General features: G+C 35.8%; 1 protein-coding gene across 10 annotated transcripts in view; it reads right to left on the reverse strand.

Moving 5' to 3' along the window:
• Positions 1–7,357: 7,357 nt before the first annotated feature.
• The window catches only part of ARSJ (arylsulfatase family member J), a 79,364-nt gene continuing 69,101 nt past the window's right edge, over positions 7,358–17,620 (reverse strand). For 3 of the 10 annotated variants that reach the window (XM_047416157.1, NM_001354211.2, XM_024454215.2), the window contains 3 exons: positions 13,770–13,819; positions 9,383–10,749; positions 7,358–9,286 (listed from right to left, as the gene is read on the reverse strand). In XM_047416157.1, the coding sequence (XP_047272113.1) occupies positions 9,261–9,286; positions 9,383–10,749; positions 13,770–13,819 (1,443 nt within the window). In that variant the 3' untranslated portion in view covers positions 7,358–9,260. Of the gene's footprint in view, positions 10,750–13,769; positions 13,820–17,620 lie in introns of all 10 variants that reach the window. The other 7 variants (XM_047416155.1, XM_017008594.3, XM_011532238.4 and 4 more) reach the window with 3 other exon arrangements.

Below are 17,620 nucleotides of genomic sequence, written 5' to 3' on the forward strand. Positions count from 1 at the left end.
GACAAATGTTTGAGCTGCAAACACATTTTCTTATTTAATAGCCACTAACAGCCATAATTAGTTCTTGGAAACTGTAATCCAATCAAGTGTGATTATAATTAAATATATACACACAAAGATAATTATGAATCTTTCTGGCAATAGTAAATAAAGTTATCTATTGTTGAAATATGATCACTATTTTTGACTATTGGTAAAAGTATTAATTTCTGGTCAACAGTCATTTTCACTCTTAGATTAGGTTGGAATATAAGTGGCTATGTGGAAATATGCATCCTAGTATAAAAGTTTGCCCAAAGATTTGTTTAATGATAGGTACAGAGACTCTAATTTATTAATTTCAACATATGAGTTTGGTTTTTAAAAATATTAAAGAGATTATAATTACTGAACGAGGGAGGAGGGAAAATAAAGATGACAAAGAGAAAAGAGCCAGAGAAGCAGGGAGAGGTGAATAGGCAGAGGAAATAGGGATGGGGTGGAGTGGAGCAACGCAGAGACAGACAAGGATAGTCACTGCAAAGATAAGAACAATAGAGAAGAATTCAAGGGGAATAATGTTACCTCCATAGAAGACCCTATAATCAGAAAGCCATAAATATGGGACCAACTATTTTTTAATTTATTTGATAGGAATTGAGGTTAGACTGTAATATTGGACATGACTCAATTCTGAATTCAATGCATATGCAGATTTTATTGCACTTACCATTCAATATGATTATTCACATCACCTTTGTTTCATAATTTAATTTTAAAAAACTGGATTTGAACTATTAAAAATTATAAAATTAATTACATTCAGCTTCAACCTGTTGAAACAAACCTGTTAGCATGACCCCTGCTGGTAGTCATCTAAACATGTATTGGGGTTGGATATTTAGGTCCCAGGAATTTCTGCATGTTGGTTAATATGATTTAAAAAAAAAAAGAAAAAGAAACATAGAGTGGGTAAATTAGGCCTTTTTGTTCTGTGTTTCATGTTAATTGTGTGCAAGACACTCTGCTAGGCATGTATTAGTTTTATTCCTGGATTTGGGCAAATATCTGGGAGTGGAATTGCTATGTCATATATGTATATATATATGTATATATATATGTGTATATATATGTATATATATGTGTATATATATGTATATATATATGTGTATATATATGTATATATATAGACGTATATATATATGTGTATATATATATATGTGTGTGTGTGTGTATATATATATATATATATATATATATATATATATATATATACACTCCGGTAGTGGTGAGAAGTATAACAAACACAGGGAAGTACATAAACTCTAGCTATATAGCTTAATGAATTTTAGAAAACTGAACATATACCCACAAGCAGCACGGAGATAAAAACATTAGCAGAACCCCAGAAGCCCCACTTGTGCCCCTTCTAGTAACCCCTCAACACGTTCCCCTCAATAGAATAACACTCCATTATATGAGAATATCACAATTTATTTACTCATTCTCTTGCTGATGAATAATTGAGGGTGCTTTTCAGTGTTAGGATACTATAAATAGTGCTTCTATGAATTATACCTTCACATAACTTTTGGTGAATATCTATACAAGCATTTCTCCAGGGTATATTCCTAGGAATGAAATTTCTGGGTTATAGGGATATAAATGTTAAACTTTCATTGATACAGCCAAAACGTTTTCTGGTGTGGTTATATTAGTTTACACTCTCACCAACACTCCCACTCAGTTGTTCCACATACTTACCAACACTTAGTATTATCTTTTTCATTTTAGCCTTTCTGATATAAATGTAGTGGCATAGCATTACGATTTTAATTTACATTTCTCTAATGCCTAATGATTTTGAGCACATTTTCATATATTTATTGTGCATTTGTGTATCACCTATTGTGAGGATCCTTTCCATTATTTTCTCTTATTGATTTGTAGGAGTTCATTATATATTCTGGAGACTTTTTGCTATATTTACTGTGAATAATTATTCTAGCCAGTGGCTTGCATTTAGCAGCTTTTCTGAGGAATAATTTACATGTCATACAGTTGCCCATTGTAACTATACAGTTCAGGGATTTTTTTAGTACATTATGCAGTTATGCAATCATCCCTACGATTCAGTTTTAAGGTACCTCCTTCACCCTGAAGTTTCCCTCATTCCTGTTTTCTGTCAGTACATGCTCCAACTTCCATCTGCAACCACTGATCTATGTCAGAAAGTGAATATTCTCATGTTTCTGCATAGTTAGGACTTTCTGACAAATGTTACTGGCACCTGGGTTAAAGGACAAGCTTGGATGTTAAAGGGTGTTAGATAGGGAATTATCTGTTCTTAAAGAGTAATAAAACTTCTGTCAGAGCCAACAGCTTGCATTTTGGGGTACTTTCCCCTCTCTTTTCTTCAGAACATTCATTTACAGTCCAAAGGATTGTAAAAGACCAGGGAGCAAATGTTTCTTAGGAAGGGAGGAGAGGGAGGACATTTTATATATATATATTTCCAGATTCATAATTTTAGGTTTCCTCTCCTATGATGCGACCCCTGTACATGTAGTCCTAAACATGTGGCTCTCCTTGCATCACCTGTGCGACACTGCTGCAGTTATTGCTGTAATGAACAATGATGACTCTGAGTTCCAGAAACTTCATGCTTGCATTCAGGATAACAAGGAATAAATACAGATCATAAAAACTTACCAAGTTTACTGACAAGCATGAGATCCTGTTTGAAACGTGGTTTTCTGAAAGACATAGAGGATGGCCCCCAGGCTAACAGGATTTGAAAGAAGACAGCAAGAGCCAACAGCAGACAGATGGAAAAGATTGGAAGACAATTGTTGGTCGAAGGCTGGGGGTAGGTTGGAACAAGCAGCCCAAATGGTTTTAGGTTTTAGAGAAGGCTTTTAGTTTTTGCCCTCTCTTCCTAGCAAGAGAAGAAAGGATCTAGGAATTCTCAACGTTGGGCTTTGGGTGGGTGGGTAGAGAATGTGAGAAATCTATGTTGTTCACTCTTCTATGTAAGAGAAGAAATACCCAAGGTAGGCTTTGGATAGGTCCCGAATAGAAGTTACCTTGTTCACTGCTCTCTCTTCTAGGCAGAAAGAGAAAGGATTAATTAGTTCCCAAAGCTGAAGCAGGCTTTGGACATTGCAGCTGCTAAACTGCTTGGACCTGAAGGGAGCGGTATCTCACTTACTCAGGTGGGAACACTTTGTTGGCTTCCTGATCGCTCACTTCCACTCTGATCTCAGCTCCTTGAAGGTTTTGGGGTGGGGCTCAGGCCTTCTCGTCACCAGAAGGCGGAGATAGCTCTACACACTCATCGCTTTATGCTGGGAGAACTTTGGAAGGGAGGAATTCACTTGCTGATACCTCTGTTGGACATAGGTATAATGTGCCTAGTTCTGTGGCAGAAACGGATGTGGGACTCAGGTATGGAGAAGGGTGCCAAGAAAGTAAAATGCGGAGTTATGGTTGCATATGAGTTCAGAAAGAAATAGCCCTAGCACAGCCAGGATGCTGAGAAGTGCAGAGGCAAGGGGCCAAATAAAAAGGTAAGGGGAAAAACCTCTCCACCCACCCGCCTCACCTAGTCTCCACTGCCACTGCAGCCGCCATTGCTCCCAGCTGGGAGAGAGCAGGATTCCTCAGCAGCTGTGACCTTAATCTCTGAAACACTATGTTAACTGTTAGGACTTAGAGCAAAACTTGGAGAAAAGAAAAAAAAAAGTTTAGTAAAACACTGTATTGTTTTGTTGCTACTATGTCTGACTGTATAGTAGAAATAATTGCAGGACTTTTTATGCTTGTAATTCCCCACCTCATAGGTGCTAGAGGGGATTATTTAATTAAGAATAGCTACAGGTAGATAAGTTTTAGTGGGATTTGCCTTAGAGACAGAATAACTCTCTGACTGAGGACTTAACGCTATTTGCCCAAAGGGAGCCTCTGGAAATTCTGGTGATGATGACATAAAAAATATGGTTTCAGATACTAAATTAAATCAAGAGTTTTTTAAAAACCTTGGTTATAAAAAGGTTTTTTTCTCACAGTTGTTTAGGATTTAGAAGGTCAGCTGAAGGTATTCCCTGTTCATAATTCTCAAAGTTGAAGAACTTTAATTCTTAAAGCATTGTTTCTAGAGAGATTAATATGACCGAAGTGATATTAAAAATTATTTTTGGATTTTTATACTGAAAGACAAATTTTACTTTTCTTTGATTATGCAATAAGATGCTCTCTACTTATTATTGGCTGAAGAATTTCTACAAAGAGTGGATAGGTAGACATTTCTAATAAGACTTTGTTATTCTCTTGTTTGTTTTTCAATTATTGGGATTGATTTTATCTAATATTGCATAAAACATCTGACAAAAAATGTTATAGGATTGCAGTAAATTTGAGCATAAGGCAATTTCAAATCATAGATATGAAATTGAAAGTTAGATAAATATGTTCAAATCTACCTAATCCCCAAAGGCAACATTCAGGTTCTGTGCTTTAAATAATACCATGTTTAACCAATGAATCAACCAAATTCATAGAGATGCTATGACTAGTAAAATATTTAAGAAAAATATATCTTTAAAAAAAGCAGAATTTCTGCTCTGCCAAATTGGAGAGGTTTGTAATAAAATACCCAAGGATGTGAGGTATATTCCATTTGGCTTTATAATTCTATGAAGACATAGAGGTTTATTTTCTAATTATATTTTTTTCCTTTCACGATTTGGTACAAAAAATTATTGACAATTTAAGCCCTCATCTATTTTTTTCTGGGAACTCATTTAAGCTAATGTATTCTGTAATATTCCAAGTAGTGTTAGAATAATCATGTTCTATCCTGTTATGTAATAAAGATGATAGATAAAATTTGCTCTCAATTTTGTGTAATTTTTGCTTCACTTTTGCTGTAACACCCTGTTGCTATAACTATACATTATTAGAGTTAGTTTTTTATAGTGTTAGAAATTTCTGCATTTCATATCATTGCTGTTAAAGGTATTAAGGATGATTAGTTCTATTTTTCAACAATGAAATCCCTGTACCAGAAATAGAAAGTGGAAACTTAGGCAAATGTGGTTGAACATATGGATAAATGTGATTATCTTATGTATTCACTCAAAAACATTGAGTGCTAAGTATAAGTAGGACATCATTTTATATACTGGCCATGCATATGTAAACAGAACTTACAGAAGTCACTTTTCTTAAGAAGTTTATATTCTAGGGGAATGAAACAGACAACAAGGAAAACTTGTGAGTAAACTCTGAAGGATATTAAATGCTAATGAGAAAGATCAAGCAGGAAAGTGGGGTAGCCATGGTGGGAGGATGGTGGAGATGAAGTGTTTGATTATTGGGTTCATGGCTGCATCTTCTAGGAGAATGTGCACTACCACCTGAACGTAGGGGCACTACCCGAAGGCAAGGACTCTGCGTGATGTCACTTGCCATCACATCCCGATGCACACCATTACATGGGGCACTTAACAAATGCTGAAAGAATGGATGGATAAACTTGGTGTAGAATGAATCCTCCCCTTATCCTGATCTACTCTTTTTTCACACTACTTTATATGGTATATAATGTTATAATTAGTTATGTTTATTATTTATTGTCTGCTTCACTCAGCTAGAAGATAACCTGCCCAAGGGTAAGAATTTTTATTCATTTCATACACTGATATATCCCAAGATCCTAGAACATTGCCTGAGAGAGTAAGATTCAGCAAGTATTTGTTGAATGAATGAATGAATTCTATGAAGTCATTGTATGAAGAAACAATTTAGCTATTAGTTTACCATAGAGGAATTGTGCTGCTTTTGGCAAGGAAATTTTTTCCTGCCAACATCACACATTCTGCTACTGACAAATTCACAATTTGTATGTTCAAAAATGGTATGAATAAAATGCTTAGGAAGCTGATCCTGATGCAAAATTCATGTGCCTTAGAAAATCAAGAAACACCTGCACTTGAAAATACATAGCATTTTTAGTTATATTAGCTTAAACCTGGAAACAACCCAAGTGTCCATTAACATGTGAAAAGATAAAAAATGGCATATCTATATAATAAAATACTGTTCAGTAATATAAAGAAATAATGTGGAGATGTGCGCACTAATATGGTATATTCTCAGAGAGGAATGTTGAAAGTACAAAAAAGTATTATTATTCAACTATCAATGACAGTGTTCCTCTGTTCTTAAGAATTTTAAAAGGGGTCTGGTCAAGAAAACAAAAATATCCATTCAATTTTTAGAAAAAAGGAAGAAAGAGTATGTAAAAACAGATGAAACAAGTTCTTTAGTTAGACTTGAAATTTGACAGACCTGAGGTAGATGTTTTCACTGGCTGAAAGGTACTACAAATATTTTTGTTGTTGATGTTTTCATTGGAAAAAAGTTTTTATATCCCTTCTCAACCCAGAAACATAGCCATATTCAAAAATTATTTTCTGACAAAGCTAATGAGAGTTTCTTTTGAAACCCTAAGAAAGATCAGAGGTTTAAAAGAGGTGCAGTTGACACTTGAAAGAACCACAGGCAGCCTAGAAACACATCCTGAAGATCACAGTTTAGGAAGCTAACACCTGAGAATGAATTCCTCATATTAACATGGCATCAGTGATTAGGGCACAAAACTCAAGGACACAGTGTTTTCCTTCCTGGCCATCTTGAAATCCCTAGTGATTTGCTGCCAGCATTTTTAGAAACATTTTTGTTCATGACTTATACATGACTATTAGATTATATTTTAATTTCTTGAGGGCAAGACACTGAGACTTCTTGTAAACCACATCCTGCCTAGAGCCCTGGGCAGGTGGCAGGTACTCTCTAAAACAGTGATCAACATCCATGAAGCCATTTCCAGTAGAACACTGTGGGCTAAATTATTTTCACTGAGAAGATTATAATCATTTATAGAGAACTTAGAATTACATCACAATAGGTGATGCCTACTGGTATTTCTTAATCCTAATTTGCCTCTTTGCTTCTTTTTTTGTCTTTCTAGGAACTTCTAGAAGATTCTATGTTTACACTATGTTTCCAATAACAGTATAGTTCCTCAGAACCCTAGTCCTGTGCATTGTGCCACAGACAGCAGTTTTGTGGTGAAATTATGAAATACTGTATAACATTTTCCTTCTGTCAGGGTTACAATACAAGCTAAGATTTTAAAAACTCCTCTAAAAGAAAAACCTGCATTAAAGTGACTCCTTTGACGTTCTTTAACCCAGCATCTCCCAAACTTACTTTCTTCAGAACTCTTTTTTAGTGTAAAGATGTCTATTTTTAAAAAATGTATAAGATGCCATCTATTTTAAGACATGTCATTTATGTGCCACCAGGAAAGAAAAACATGAACAATATGCCTTTATTTTTAAGACTCATTTAAAAGATACTGTCGACAAAACACAAACTTTAGGAAATACAACTTTACACTATAAAATAAAATGGAGCCATATATTCTAGAAATAAAATGTTAAAATTAAAATCATTTAAATCATCTTACCCAATTTAGTAATTTCAGTACTAGATTATAGATTCTTTTATACATTTTCAGAAACTGTGAGCTGTGATATAAATGGATTATATCACAGTCCTTTGAGTTGTGATATAAATGGATTATATCACAGTCCTTTGAGCTGTGATGTAAATGTATTTAATGGTATGCTGTCATACCACCACACACATTTTCAGATCACAGTTATAACTTCAAAGATCATAATTCTAGCTATCTGTGACTTTTCAAGTGTATACTGTAAGCTTCAAGGCCTCTGCATTAGGAGAGGGCACTTCAAAGAAAACACCAGGGTCTACAGGATCCACACCAATCTATGCTCATTGATGACCCATGATAAACTTCATTACTGATAATACTCCTTTAATTCTCCTCATGACGTTTGCATGTGGGGTTTCCAAGCAAGGTTACCTACTCCAGGCAGGATCCGTATCTTCCATTTCTCTGTATCTCCCCACAGTGTCCACTTTGTATAAGAGTAAGTTTATTACTTTTAATGGGAAAAACCGCAACTAGTTTTGCACCAACCTAATATAAATGTTAGTTATTATTATGGGAAAATCTTTCTCCATGTCATAGCCAAGGGGAAGCATCTATCTGTAAAATCATATTATATTACTGTGGTTGTTAGCAAACCATTCCTTCAATTGCCTATTAGTAAAGATTTTTATTTTTTAGGACCAATGATACAATTTTAGCTAGAAGTTAGATCAGAAAAGCCACAGTAAATTTTCTAGTGCCATAAAGTAAATCATTTTAATAATTAAGATACATAAATAGTTTATGATAGAAACAATAAAGTTGTCTCAACTCTGCACAAACATTGAATTTCCAAGTAATTTGTAAGGAATATATTCATCTTATTACATTCAAAATCTTGGTTGAACAATGACGATTATAAAGTTTTCTGAATGATGTTTTTTATAGTCTGAATTCACACAGTATTACATTAATTTATAGTATTACAGTGCTTGGTAATTTGAAGAAATGAAATAAAATTATTCTAATGGTATGCAGGAAATAAAAATAAAATAAAGTCATTTGCATAACTTTTTATAAAAACAACAAAATATTTTTCTGTAAAAATAAATTAGGTTTTTTATACTGAAATGTTCTTCTAGTAAAGTGTTTAGAAAATAGTTACATTCATTGTGGGCAGTGTGCTCAAACATTCTTATTTGCCATTCCCTCACGCATGGTAAAATGAGGTGCAAGCTGTTCACATGTGAGAAAAACAGCTTTTCACAGGAAAAGAAACATATATATATATATAAAATAGAATTAATTAAAAAACCCAAGTGTCATATGACAGACATACAAAAATTCACCAAGAAAATATATTCTTCAAGGCCTTTGAGGTGACACAATCTTTGACTGTAATTTATCAAAGGTAGTTTTAATCATGCTACCCTGTAACTTCCATCAAATTAGCATGCTTGCGGATGGTATACCCTGTAACTTCCATCAAATTAGCATGCTTGCGGATGGTAGGTTATTGTTCTCCTCCTATAATTCAAAGCAGTGTTTGGTCAGTTGACTGAAGCACAGCAGTGGAACTCAGGACTCACCACGTTTTCTAAAGGAGCAAGAGAAATAAACATCTCCACTCTCTCTAAGTGTGGCTTGCAAGAGTAGCACCTTGGCACTGAGCAGGACAGTTTTCAGTGTGGCGGCCAGGTGGCAGAAGTCTCTGGAGTGGCACAGCATGAAAACAAGCCTGACGCTTAGGCCAGCGATATTATCGAGCCAAATTTGCTGGTTTACCTAGGAAACAGATGAAAGATAAGAACTGATTAAAGTTTAACCAAACAGGAAATATTTGTGCTTATCCACAAGTAACACCTGAATGGCAAGTTGAACCTGAGACTGCTTTCTGCTGTTTCTTCTTCTTTTTTTTGCTTTTCTTTTGCTTTTTCTCAGCCTGATTTTTGCTTGGCTTCTTTTTCTTGGTTTCCTCTTTATACCATGGTCCCCAGACCCCTCCATTGAGCCTAGGGTTACTTCTGGGGTCTTTGGGGGGATACCTGACCGGCACTGCAGTTTTGTTGAACTGTGAGAGCCTCCGTAGGAGCTTCTTCACGATTCCTGGATACCTGTTAGATAGGTCCACCCTCTCATATGGGTCGGCTGTGATGTTGAAAAGCCATACACTTTTGCCAGTTGACAAGGTGATCCGTTCATTGTGCCACCGGTTCGGTCCCAGGTTGCTGAAAGACTGAGGGGGGACCCAGTCGCTGTAGCCAGGATTTCCTGTAAGCAATTTCCAGTGCTGCACTCTGATGGCTGACTGGATTGCAGTGTTCCAGATCCCATAGCCTGCTGCCCAGGAGCCATTTTTTGCCTTGGTGTATATGGGGTCAATGTTATGCAAAATATCTACTCGGGGTGAGCGAAGACCCTCACTTATGGTCTCCCAGATATCATAGCCATCTAGTTGAATGTCCTCATCAATCTGTCCTTCAGCCAGTGAAATGAGAGTGGGGTACCAGTCAGTGATGTGCACAAGTTCCTTACACACTGTTCCCTTGTTTTTCAGAAGTGGGCTATGCACAAAGCCTACAGCCCGGATCCCTCCTTCCCAATATGTTCCTTTGCTACCTCTGAGAGGCCAGTTACTCCCTCCTGCCGTAGGCTGGCCACCATTATCTGAAGAGTAAATGATAATGCTGTTGTTATAGAAACCATAAGTCTTTAGAGCCAATGTCACGTTGTTGATTGCTTCATCTAAGCAGGAAAGCATGGCAGCATATCTCCTCCTGTTTATGTTGATAATGGATCGGTAGTGTTCGAAATACCTGCCAGGAGCTTGCAGTGGTGAATGAACAGCTTGATAGGCAATATATAAAAATATAGGCTTTGTGGGGTTATGGGAAGCTAAGATTTGCTGTACTCTCTGAGTGTACATCTGTGTGGAGTATATGCCATTGTCATAGTCCCAGGCAGCATTGTCGTTTTCATACAAGTCATAGCCACACATCCCAGGACTGTCACATTTGTAGTGTGTATAGTAATCCCCACTTCCCAAAAGGGAACCAAAAAAGGTATCAAATCCTCTTCTGGTGGGCATGCATTCTTTTCTGTAAAAACCCAAGTGCCATTTTCCGACCATATGCGTTGAATATCCAACCTCCTTCAGTTTCTGAGGTAGGGTGGCATTGTCCAGAGGTAAACAGTTGGGTTGGGTAGGTCTTATGATAGAATGTTGAAGTCCGGTGTGTATCTGATACCTTAAGAAAAGAGAAAAAAATTGTTATCAGGGCAGGATAAAAGAGATATTCTACATAAAACAATGATCCCTAAATTAAAAAATGTTTCTATGGGCATCATTGTTAAATTATAATTGACCCCAATGATAAATGACCAATTCAGCATTTCTGCTCTTTACTCACAAGTCTTACTCTAATTAACTTCCTATTTAACATTTGAAATGCATTTCAATCTAAGCCAGTACTTTTGAAAGTAAAATTTTGCCACTTATCTCGAAAGTCTTTTTGAGACGGAGTCTTAGTCGTCACCCAGGGTGGAGTGCAGTGGCGTGATCTCGGCTCACTGCAACTTTCACCTCCCAGGTTCAAGCGATTCTCCTGCCTCAGCCTCCCCAGTAGCTGGGATTACAGGCATGCACCAACATGCCCAGATTTTTTTTTTTTTTGTATTTTTAGTAGAGACAGGGTTTCACCATGTTGGCCAGGCTAGTCTCGAACTCCTGACCTCAAGTGATCTACCTGCCTTGGCCTCCCAAAGTGCTGCGATTACAGGTGCGAAGCCACTGTGCCCAGCCTCAAAGTCTTTTAAAGTTCTTATAGTGGAATTAATTTGAATACACTTTAATCTCTTAATTACATGACTGAAAACTGACAAGGTAAGAGAAAAGATATACGGAATCAGAGTGTTATTATTATTATTGCTTTTAACCTAGGGGCCTTCTAAATCATTAGCTCCTAGTTTCCTGAGATCATTTATTTCAAGCTAACTCTTAAGTACTAAAAATACAAGGAAAAATTAGAGAAAAATCTCCTGTTTGATTGTAAAACAATAGTTCATTCTTTTTTTTGAGACGGAGTCTCGCTCTGTCGCCCAGGCTGGAGCGCAGTGGTGTGATCTAGGCTCACTGCAAGCTCCGCCTCCCGGGTTCACGCCATTCTCCTGCCTCACCCTCCGGAGTAGCTGGGACTACAGGCGCCTGCCACCACGCCCAGATAATTTTTTTGTATTTTTTTAAATTAGAGACGGGGTTTCACCGTAGCAGCCAGGATGGTCTCGATCTCCTGACCTCGTGATCCGCCCACCTCGGCCTCCCAAAGTGCTGGGATTGCAGGCGTGAGCCACAGTGCCTGGCCCTTAATCTCTAATCTGTTAGATCTCTGAAACGAGATAGAGGTTTCTGACTACACAATACATTATTGTTTAAAAATCATTTTAGAATAAATGTTTTAGCTAGTGCTACAAATTATATTTTTCCAAAAACAACAGGTAATAAGTCCTTATGTATGTTTCCCACAGTGTCTCTTTTTAAAAAACTATAATCACTTATAAAATAGTCTAAGAAAGCATAACACTTTCTAATATGTTAAAAATTAAGTGAATGTTAATTTCTTGCATTTTTCTCTTTCCAGTGGTATTTGCCAAGGGCGTTTTCCAAGAAGGGGTTATTATTACACAAGTGTATGAATTTTCACTTGGGCCATGATATACTAGTTAGTTTCTGACATTTAAAAATTGATTCTATAGTTATAAGTTGAAAAACACTTTTAAAATAGAAAATATAAAAATGAAAATAAAATTAAGGTTGCAGAAAATTGTTAGGGTAAATATGTAAATAATCTTGGAATCAAATTACAAAAAAAATATTGAGGTCAAAAGCAGCTTTTTTCACAGTGATTTAACCTGAAAGGCCAACATGTTATACATGCCTTGGATGAATAGTTCAATTTATTTTTAATGTTTTAATGATAGCATGATGAAACTATGAGCTTTTTGAAGTGTTAATTGCAACACACACTGATGTTTCTGTGGGCACTGGAGTGATATCTGATCACTATTGCAAAGCAGCATTCACATGGACCCTGTTTACTCCACTGATCATTTAGCTGTCAGTTTTGCAATAGTCATGATTGTGGTAATTTAAAATGTAAGAAATTCCTAAAGAAATAATCTTTTCATAAACATCATAAGTACCAAGTTTAGAAGGCATTGTTACTGTTCTTGATAATTTTTTTTTTTTTTTTTTTTTTTTTTTTAGACAGTCTCGCTCTATCACCCAGGCTGGAGTGCAGTGGCACGATCTTGGCCCACTGCAACCTCTGCCTCCCGGGTTCAAATGATTCTCCTGCCTCAGCCACCCGAGTAGCTGGAATTACAGGTGCATACCACCAAGCCTGGCTAATTTTTGTATTTTTAGTAGAGATAGCGTTTCACTGTGTTGGCCAGGCTGATTTCGAACTTCTGACCTCAGGTGATTCACCTGCCCTGGCCTCCCAAAGTACTGCCACTGCACCTGGCCTGTTCTTGATAATTTTTGGTCCAGTCCAGGATCCAAAACATTCAATTGTGAAAAAACTAATTTTTTAACAAGTGAATGTTTTAGACACAAGTGAATGTTTTCTAAAATTAGAAAAAAAACTAATTTTTCACACAAGTACATGACAAATTAGTAAATACCCATTAATGGAAACTTGGAGGAAATTAAAAAGGGAAACATCTATACGGGTAAAAATTTTGGGAATCATTTATGGGGATCAGTTATTAACAAAATAATTATGCAGAAAATTGATTTGACTGGAATGTCTATTTAATTCATCAAATGGTAAACCAGTTAAGCATTTCTAACTAAATTGGTCATTTTCTCACCTATTGGCAAAGGCAACAGGAAAAGAGGCTTATGAAAAACATAAAATACAGGAAACGTTTGCAGAAAAAAAAGAAAGTAAGAAGAGGTTTGCTGCTTTCAGAAAATGGTGTAGCGTCTGCAGATAAATAGGAGTTCAGAGCTACTAATCAACTATGAGGTTTCTGTCTTCTCTAGAAAGTAGAATGGTTTTTAAATTGGAAAATTTAAAACCAGCAACATAAAAGTTTGACAGCAGCTTATAACAGGGAAGAGGTTTTCAGAGCAGCTCCTGCTTAAATGAGTTCCAGCCTCTATGGTGGAATAGGAGGAAGTTTCAGGTAATTTGGGGTGTGGGTTAAGGGTGTAGGTTTTGGAATCAAACAGACCTGGGTTTGAATTTGCTCCACTGCTTATTACCTGTATGGTTTTGGGAAGTACTTAATCCCTCTGATCCTCAGTTTCCTCATCTGTAAAATAGGGATAATAATACATATTGGGTTGCTGCAAGCATTGGAAGGGAGCAGAGTCTAGTAAGGAAGGTATATTTATTCAGCGATAGCTTTAACAATTATCCCAGAATGCTGAATCGGTGTCACTAACATTTGCATAACGCTTTTTAATTTATAGATTTTTTATATGCATTATTGCATTTAAGTTTCACTGCAACAGTGAGAAGTCAGATTTTTTAAGTTCATTTTATAGATGAGAAAATAGAGATGTAGAGAAGTTGTGGTTTTCTCCCCAGCACCCTCAACCTGCCCCACCAGGCTGTGAAACTGATTCTTGATCAACAGTGGCAAAGTCCGATGCACTCTCTGTTCTTTTTAAGAGTTAATATCAGTACTTTTTGAAAAATCAAGGAGCAGAGGAAAGATGCCAGAAGTCTTGAGAAGCAAATCTGTTCTAACTTTCCAATTAAAGAAAGGAAGGATTTGTAAACCGGATAGTGAGACTTATGTTGATCCCAGAAAAATTTGAGAATGATTTTTTTAAAGTATGTGATTTGTAAGCATTTCAAAAATAACAAATGGGACAAAGTCAAAAAAGAAAAGTCCTGCCAAGTTAGCTTCATTGTCTTTTTTTAAAAAGGATCAGCATTAGGTAAATAGCTTAGGAATGATTTAGCATTTGAAAGGGCTGCCTATTATTCTTTTTCAATAAAATAATGAAAAATCAACTGTATGTTAGCACTTTAGTTGGGGGTAAGAATGATAATCTTACACTTTAATGAAAGTGAATATAATATGAAAATTTTTTTTACTGATATGCTCTTCTCTGGCCTCCACAAGTCTGTGGGGCAGGTAGGAGTGTTTCATTTAGTTGAAAAAAAGTAAAGAAAAGAAAGAAAAACAACTCAGAAAATAAGTCCTCACAGCACTATTCAAAACAGCAAGACCTGGAATCAACCTGAATCCCCATAAATAGGAGATTGGATAAAGAAAATGTGGTACGTATAACCCACAGAATACTATACAGCCATAAAAAAGAACAAAATCATGTCCTTTGCAGTAATATGGATGCAGCTGGAGGCCATTATCCTAAGTGAATTAACACAGAAACAGAAAACCAAATACCACATGTTCTCACTTATAAGTGAGTGCTAAACTTTGATTGCACATGAACACAAAGAAGGGAACAAAAGACACCAGGACCCACTTCAGGATGGAGGGTGGGAGAAGGGTGAGGCTTGAAAAACTACCCATCGGGTAGTATGCTCACTACCTGGGTGACGATATATCTGTACACCAAACCTCCGTGACATGCAATTTATCCATGTAACAAAACTGCACGTAAACCCCTAGATCCTAAAATAAAAACTGGAAGGAATTAAAAGAAAGAGACTAAGGAGACATGACAATTAAATGCAATATGTGGTTTTGAATTGGAATAGTTTCAATAAAGAACGTATTTAGAGAACTGGCAAAACTTAAATGGGATCTCAGGATTAAAATGGAATAACAATGCTTCCTGATTTTGATGGTTTTGTGGCTAACACAGGAGAATACTCTTGTTGGTAGGAAATACTAAAGTATTGAGGGTGATGGGACATCACGTTGGCTCTTAACTCTTAATTCAGGAAAAATGCTATTTGTGCTGCACTTGCAATTTTTCTATAAGATTGTCTCAAAATTTAAAACAAGATGTAAGAAAATCTAACTGGGATAAATAAAAGATATTTTATTTAAAAATCCATTTTTTACACGTCAGCTATATAAGACTACATAAATGGATCTGAGAAGTTGAATATATCAGACTACAAATTTAATAAAAAGCAAGAGACAAATGAGAGCTATAGTTGTAATTAATCTATATAAAGGCAGTGTGCAAATTCTGACGAGTAATAATCCCATTATGTTAATTAGAACACATCTGAAAAATAGTATTCAATATTTAAGCATGTTCCCCTAATATATGCACGTTTACTTATTTATAAATTACACTCATGCATACTGTATTAATTTAGGAACATTATAAAACTTACACAGAATAGAAATTAAAGGGGATGAGATAAAAATAAATGTAAGTAGAATTTCTTTTATTTCTTTTTGCATCCCAATGAATCATCTTGCATTACCCTTTGGTGTATGTATTCCAATTTGGAGACCACTGGTATAGAAAGTGGATTTTAGAAAGATGAGAATTGAAACACAGATTGTTTAGAAAAGAATTTTTCTAAACAATCTCTTCTAATTGTTTAGAAGAGATTGTTTAGAGATTGTTTAGATTTGTCTAGGTCAAAGATGATGGTGGCTTGGACTACCATCTAGTGGCAGTAAAAATGGAAAGAGGTAGATGGATGAAATGTATATTTAGATTTAGAACTGATAGGACTAAATCAGTGAGAGAAGTACAGAAGGAGTGGAAAAAAAAAGAATTAGGAATGATTTCTAGATTTGTTGCTTTTATAACCTGGAGAGTGGTGGATAGTTCAACTCCTCTCTGTTTTATTTCAAAGCATAGAATTAGGACTAATGGTCAATATTATAAAGAGGCTGATTTCAACCCATTGTGGAAAATAACATTCTAAAAAAGAAAATAAACAAACAAAAAAATAGTAAACAGGCTAGATAAGCATTTGCCAAGGATTTTGTAAAAGGGATTCCTGAATTGGAAACGAAGTGCTAGATGACCTCTAATATGGTTTGGCTGTGCCCCCACCCAAATCTCATCTGAACTGTAGTTCCCATAATCCCCACATGTCGTGAGAGGGACCTGGTGAGAGGTAATTGAATCATGGGGGCAGTTTTCCTCATGCTATTCTCGTGATAGTAAGTTCTCATGAGATCCCATGATTTCATAAGGTGCTTCCCCTTTCGGTTGGCTCTCATTTCTCTCTCCTACCGCCATGTGAAGAAGGATGTGTTTGCTTTCCCTTCTGCCATGTTTGTTAAGTTTCCTCAGGCCTCCCCAGCCTTGTGAAACTGTGAGTCAATTAAACCTCTTTTCTTTATAAAGTACCCAGCCTCAGGTATATCCTTAGAGCAGCATGAGAACAGAGTACTACACCTCTAAGCTTCTTCCTAACTATAAGAATCCATGAGTCAAAGACTACTGCTCAATGTGTCAGTAAAGCGTCTCCATTTAACATCAGAACAGCTTCACAGTACCAAGTTTATAATATCATTTACAGATATTTCATAGGGAAGATTCCACAAACATCGATTATATATTTAACATTTATTTGTATAATATGAAATTAGTTTAAAAATAGATTTTTCATATAATATATTCCAAATGCTTGTATTACCTTGGCTAAAAAATAAAATAATTTTGAAATTTAGTAAGTTTTTTTGTCACAGTCTGGCTACCATGTGAAGAAAATTCCACATGAATAATAGTAAACCTAGAGTTGTTGCCAAATCTGTTAAAAGCAATCACCATCATTCTCACTTTACTGCCAACTTAAAAGAAAAATGCTAAGTAGACCTTTCAGCTTGGCATTAGAATATGTGAAGGTATATAATTTTTTGTATTAATTTGTATTACTGGGTGCTGGATACTATAGTCTATGAATTCTTCTTTGTCTGAAAATATTGTCTAAGATGTTATTGTTTTAACCTAATTACATATTTAATGTACTCTTGTAAGTGGGATAAAATATGAATACTAATACTTTTATGCAGACTTTAAAGTCCAGAATGGTTAGCGAGTAAAAAATAGGCCAATAGTGGAGTAGAAATTCATATTTTGAAGGGAAGGAAATAAATGCAAGAGACTGTAGTTTACAAATCAAATATCACTTGGATATTTATGTAGGAAGAATATAA

This window comes from Homo sapiens, chromosome 4 (genome assembly GCF_000001405.40).
Source record: "Homo sapiens chromosome 4, GRCh38.p14 Primary Assembly".
In the NCBI taxonomy this organism is placed as follows: Eukaryota; Metazoa; Chordata; class Mammalia; order Primates; family Hominidae; genus Homo; species Homo sapiens.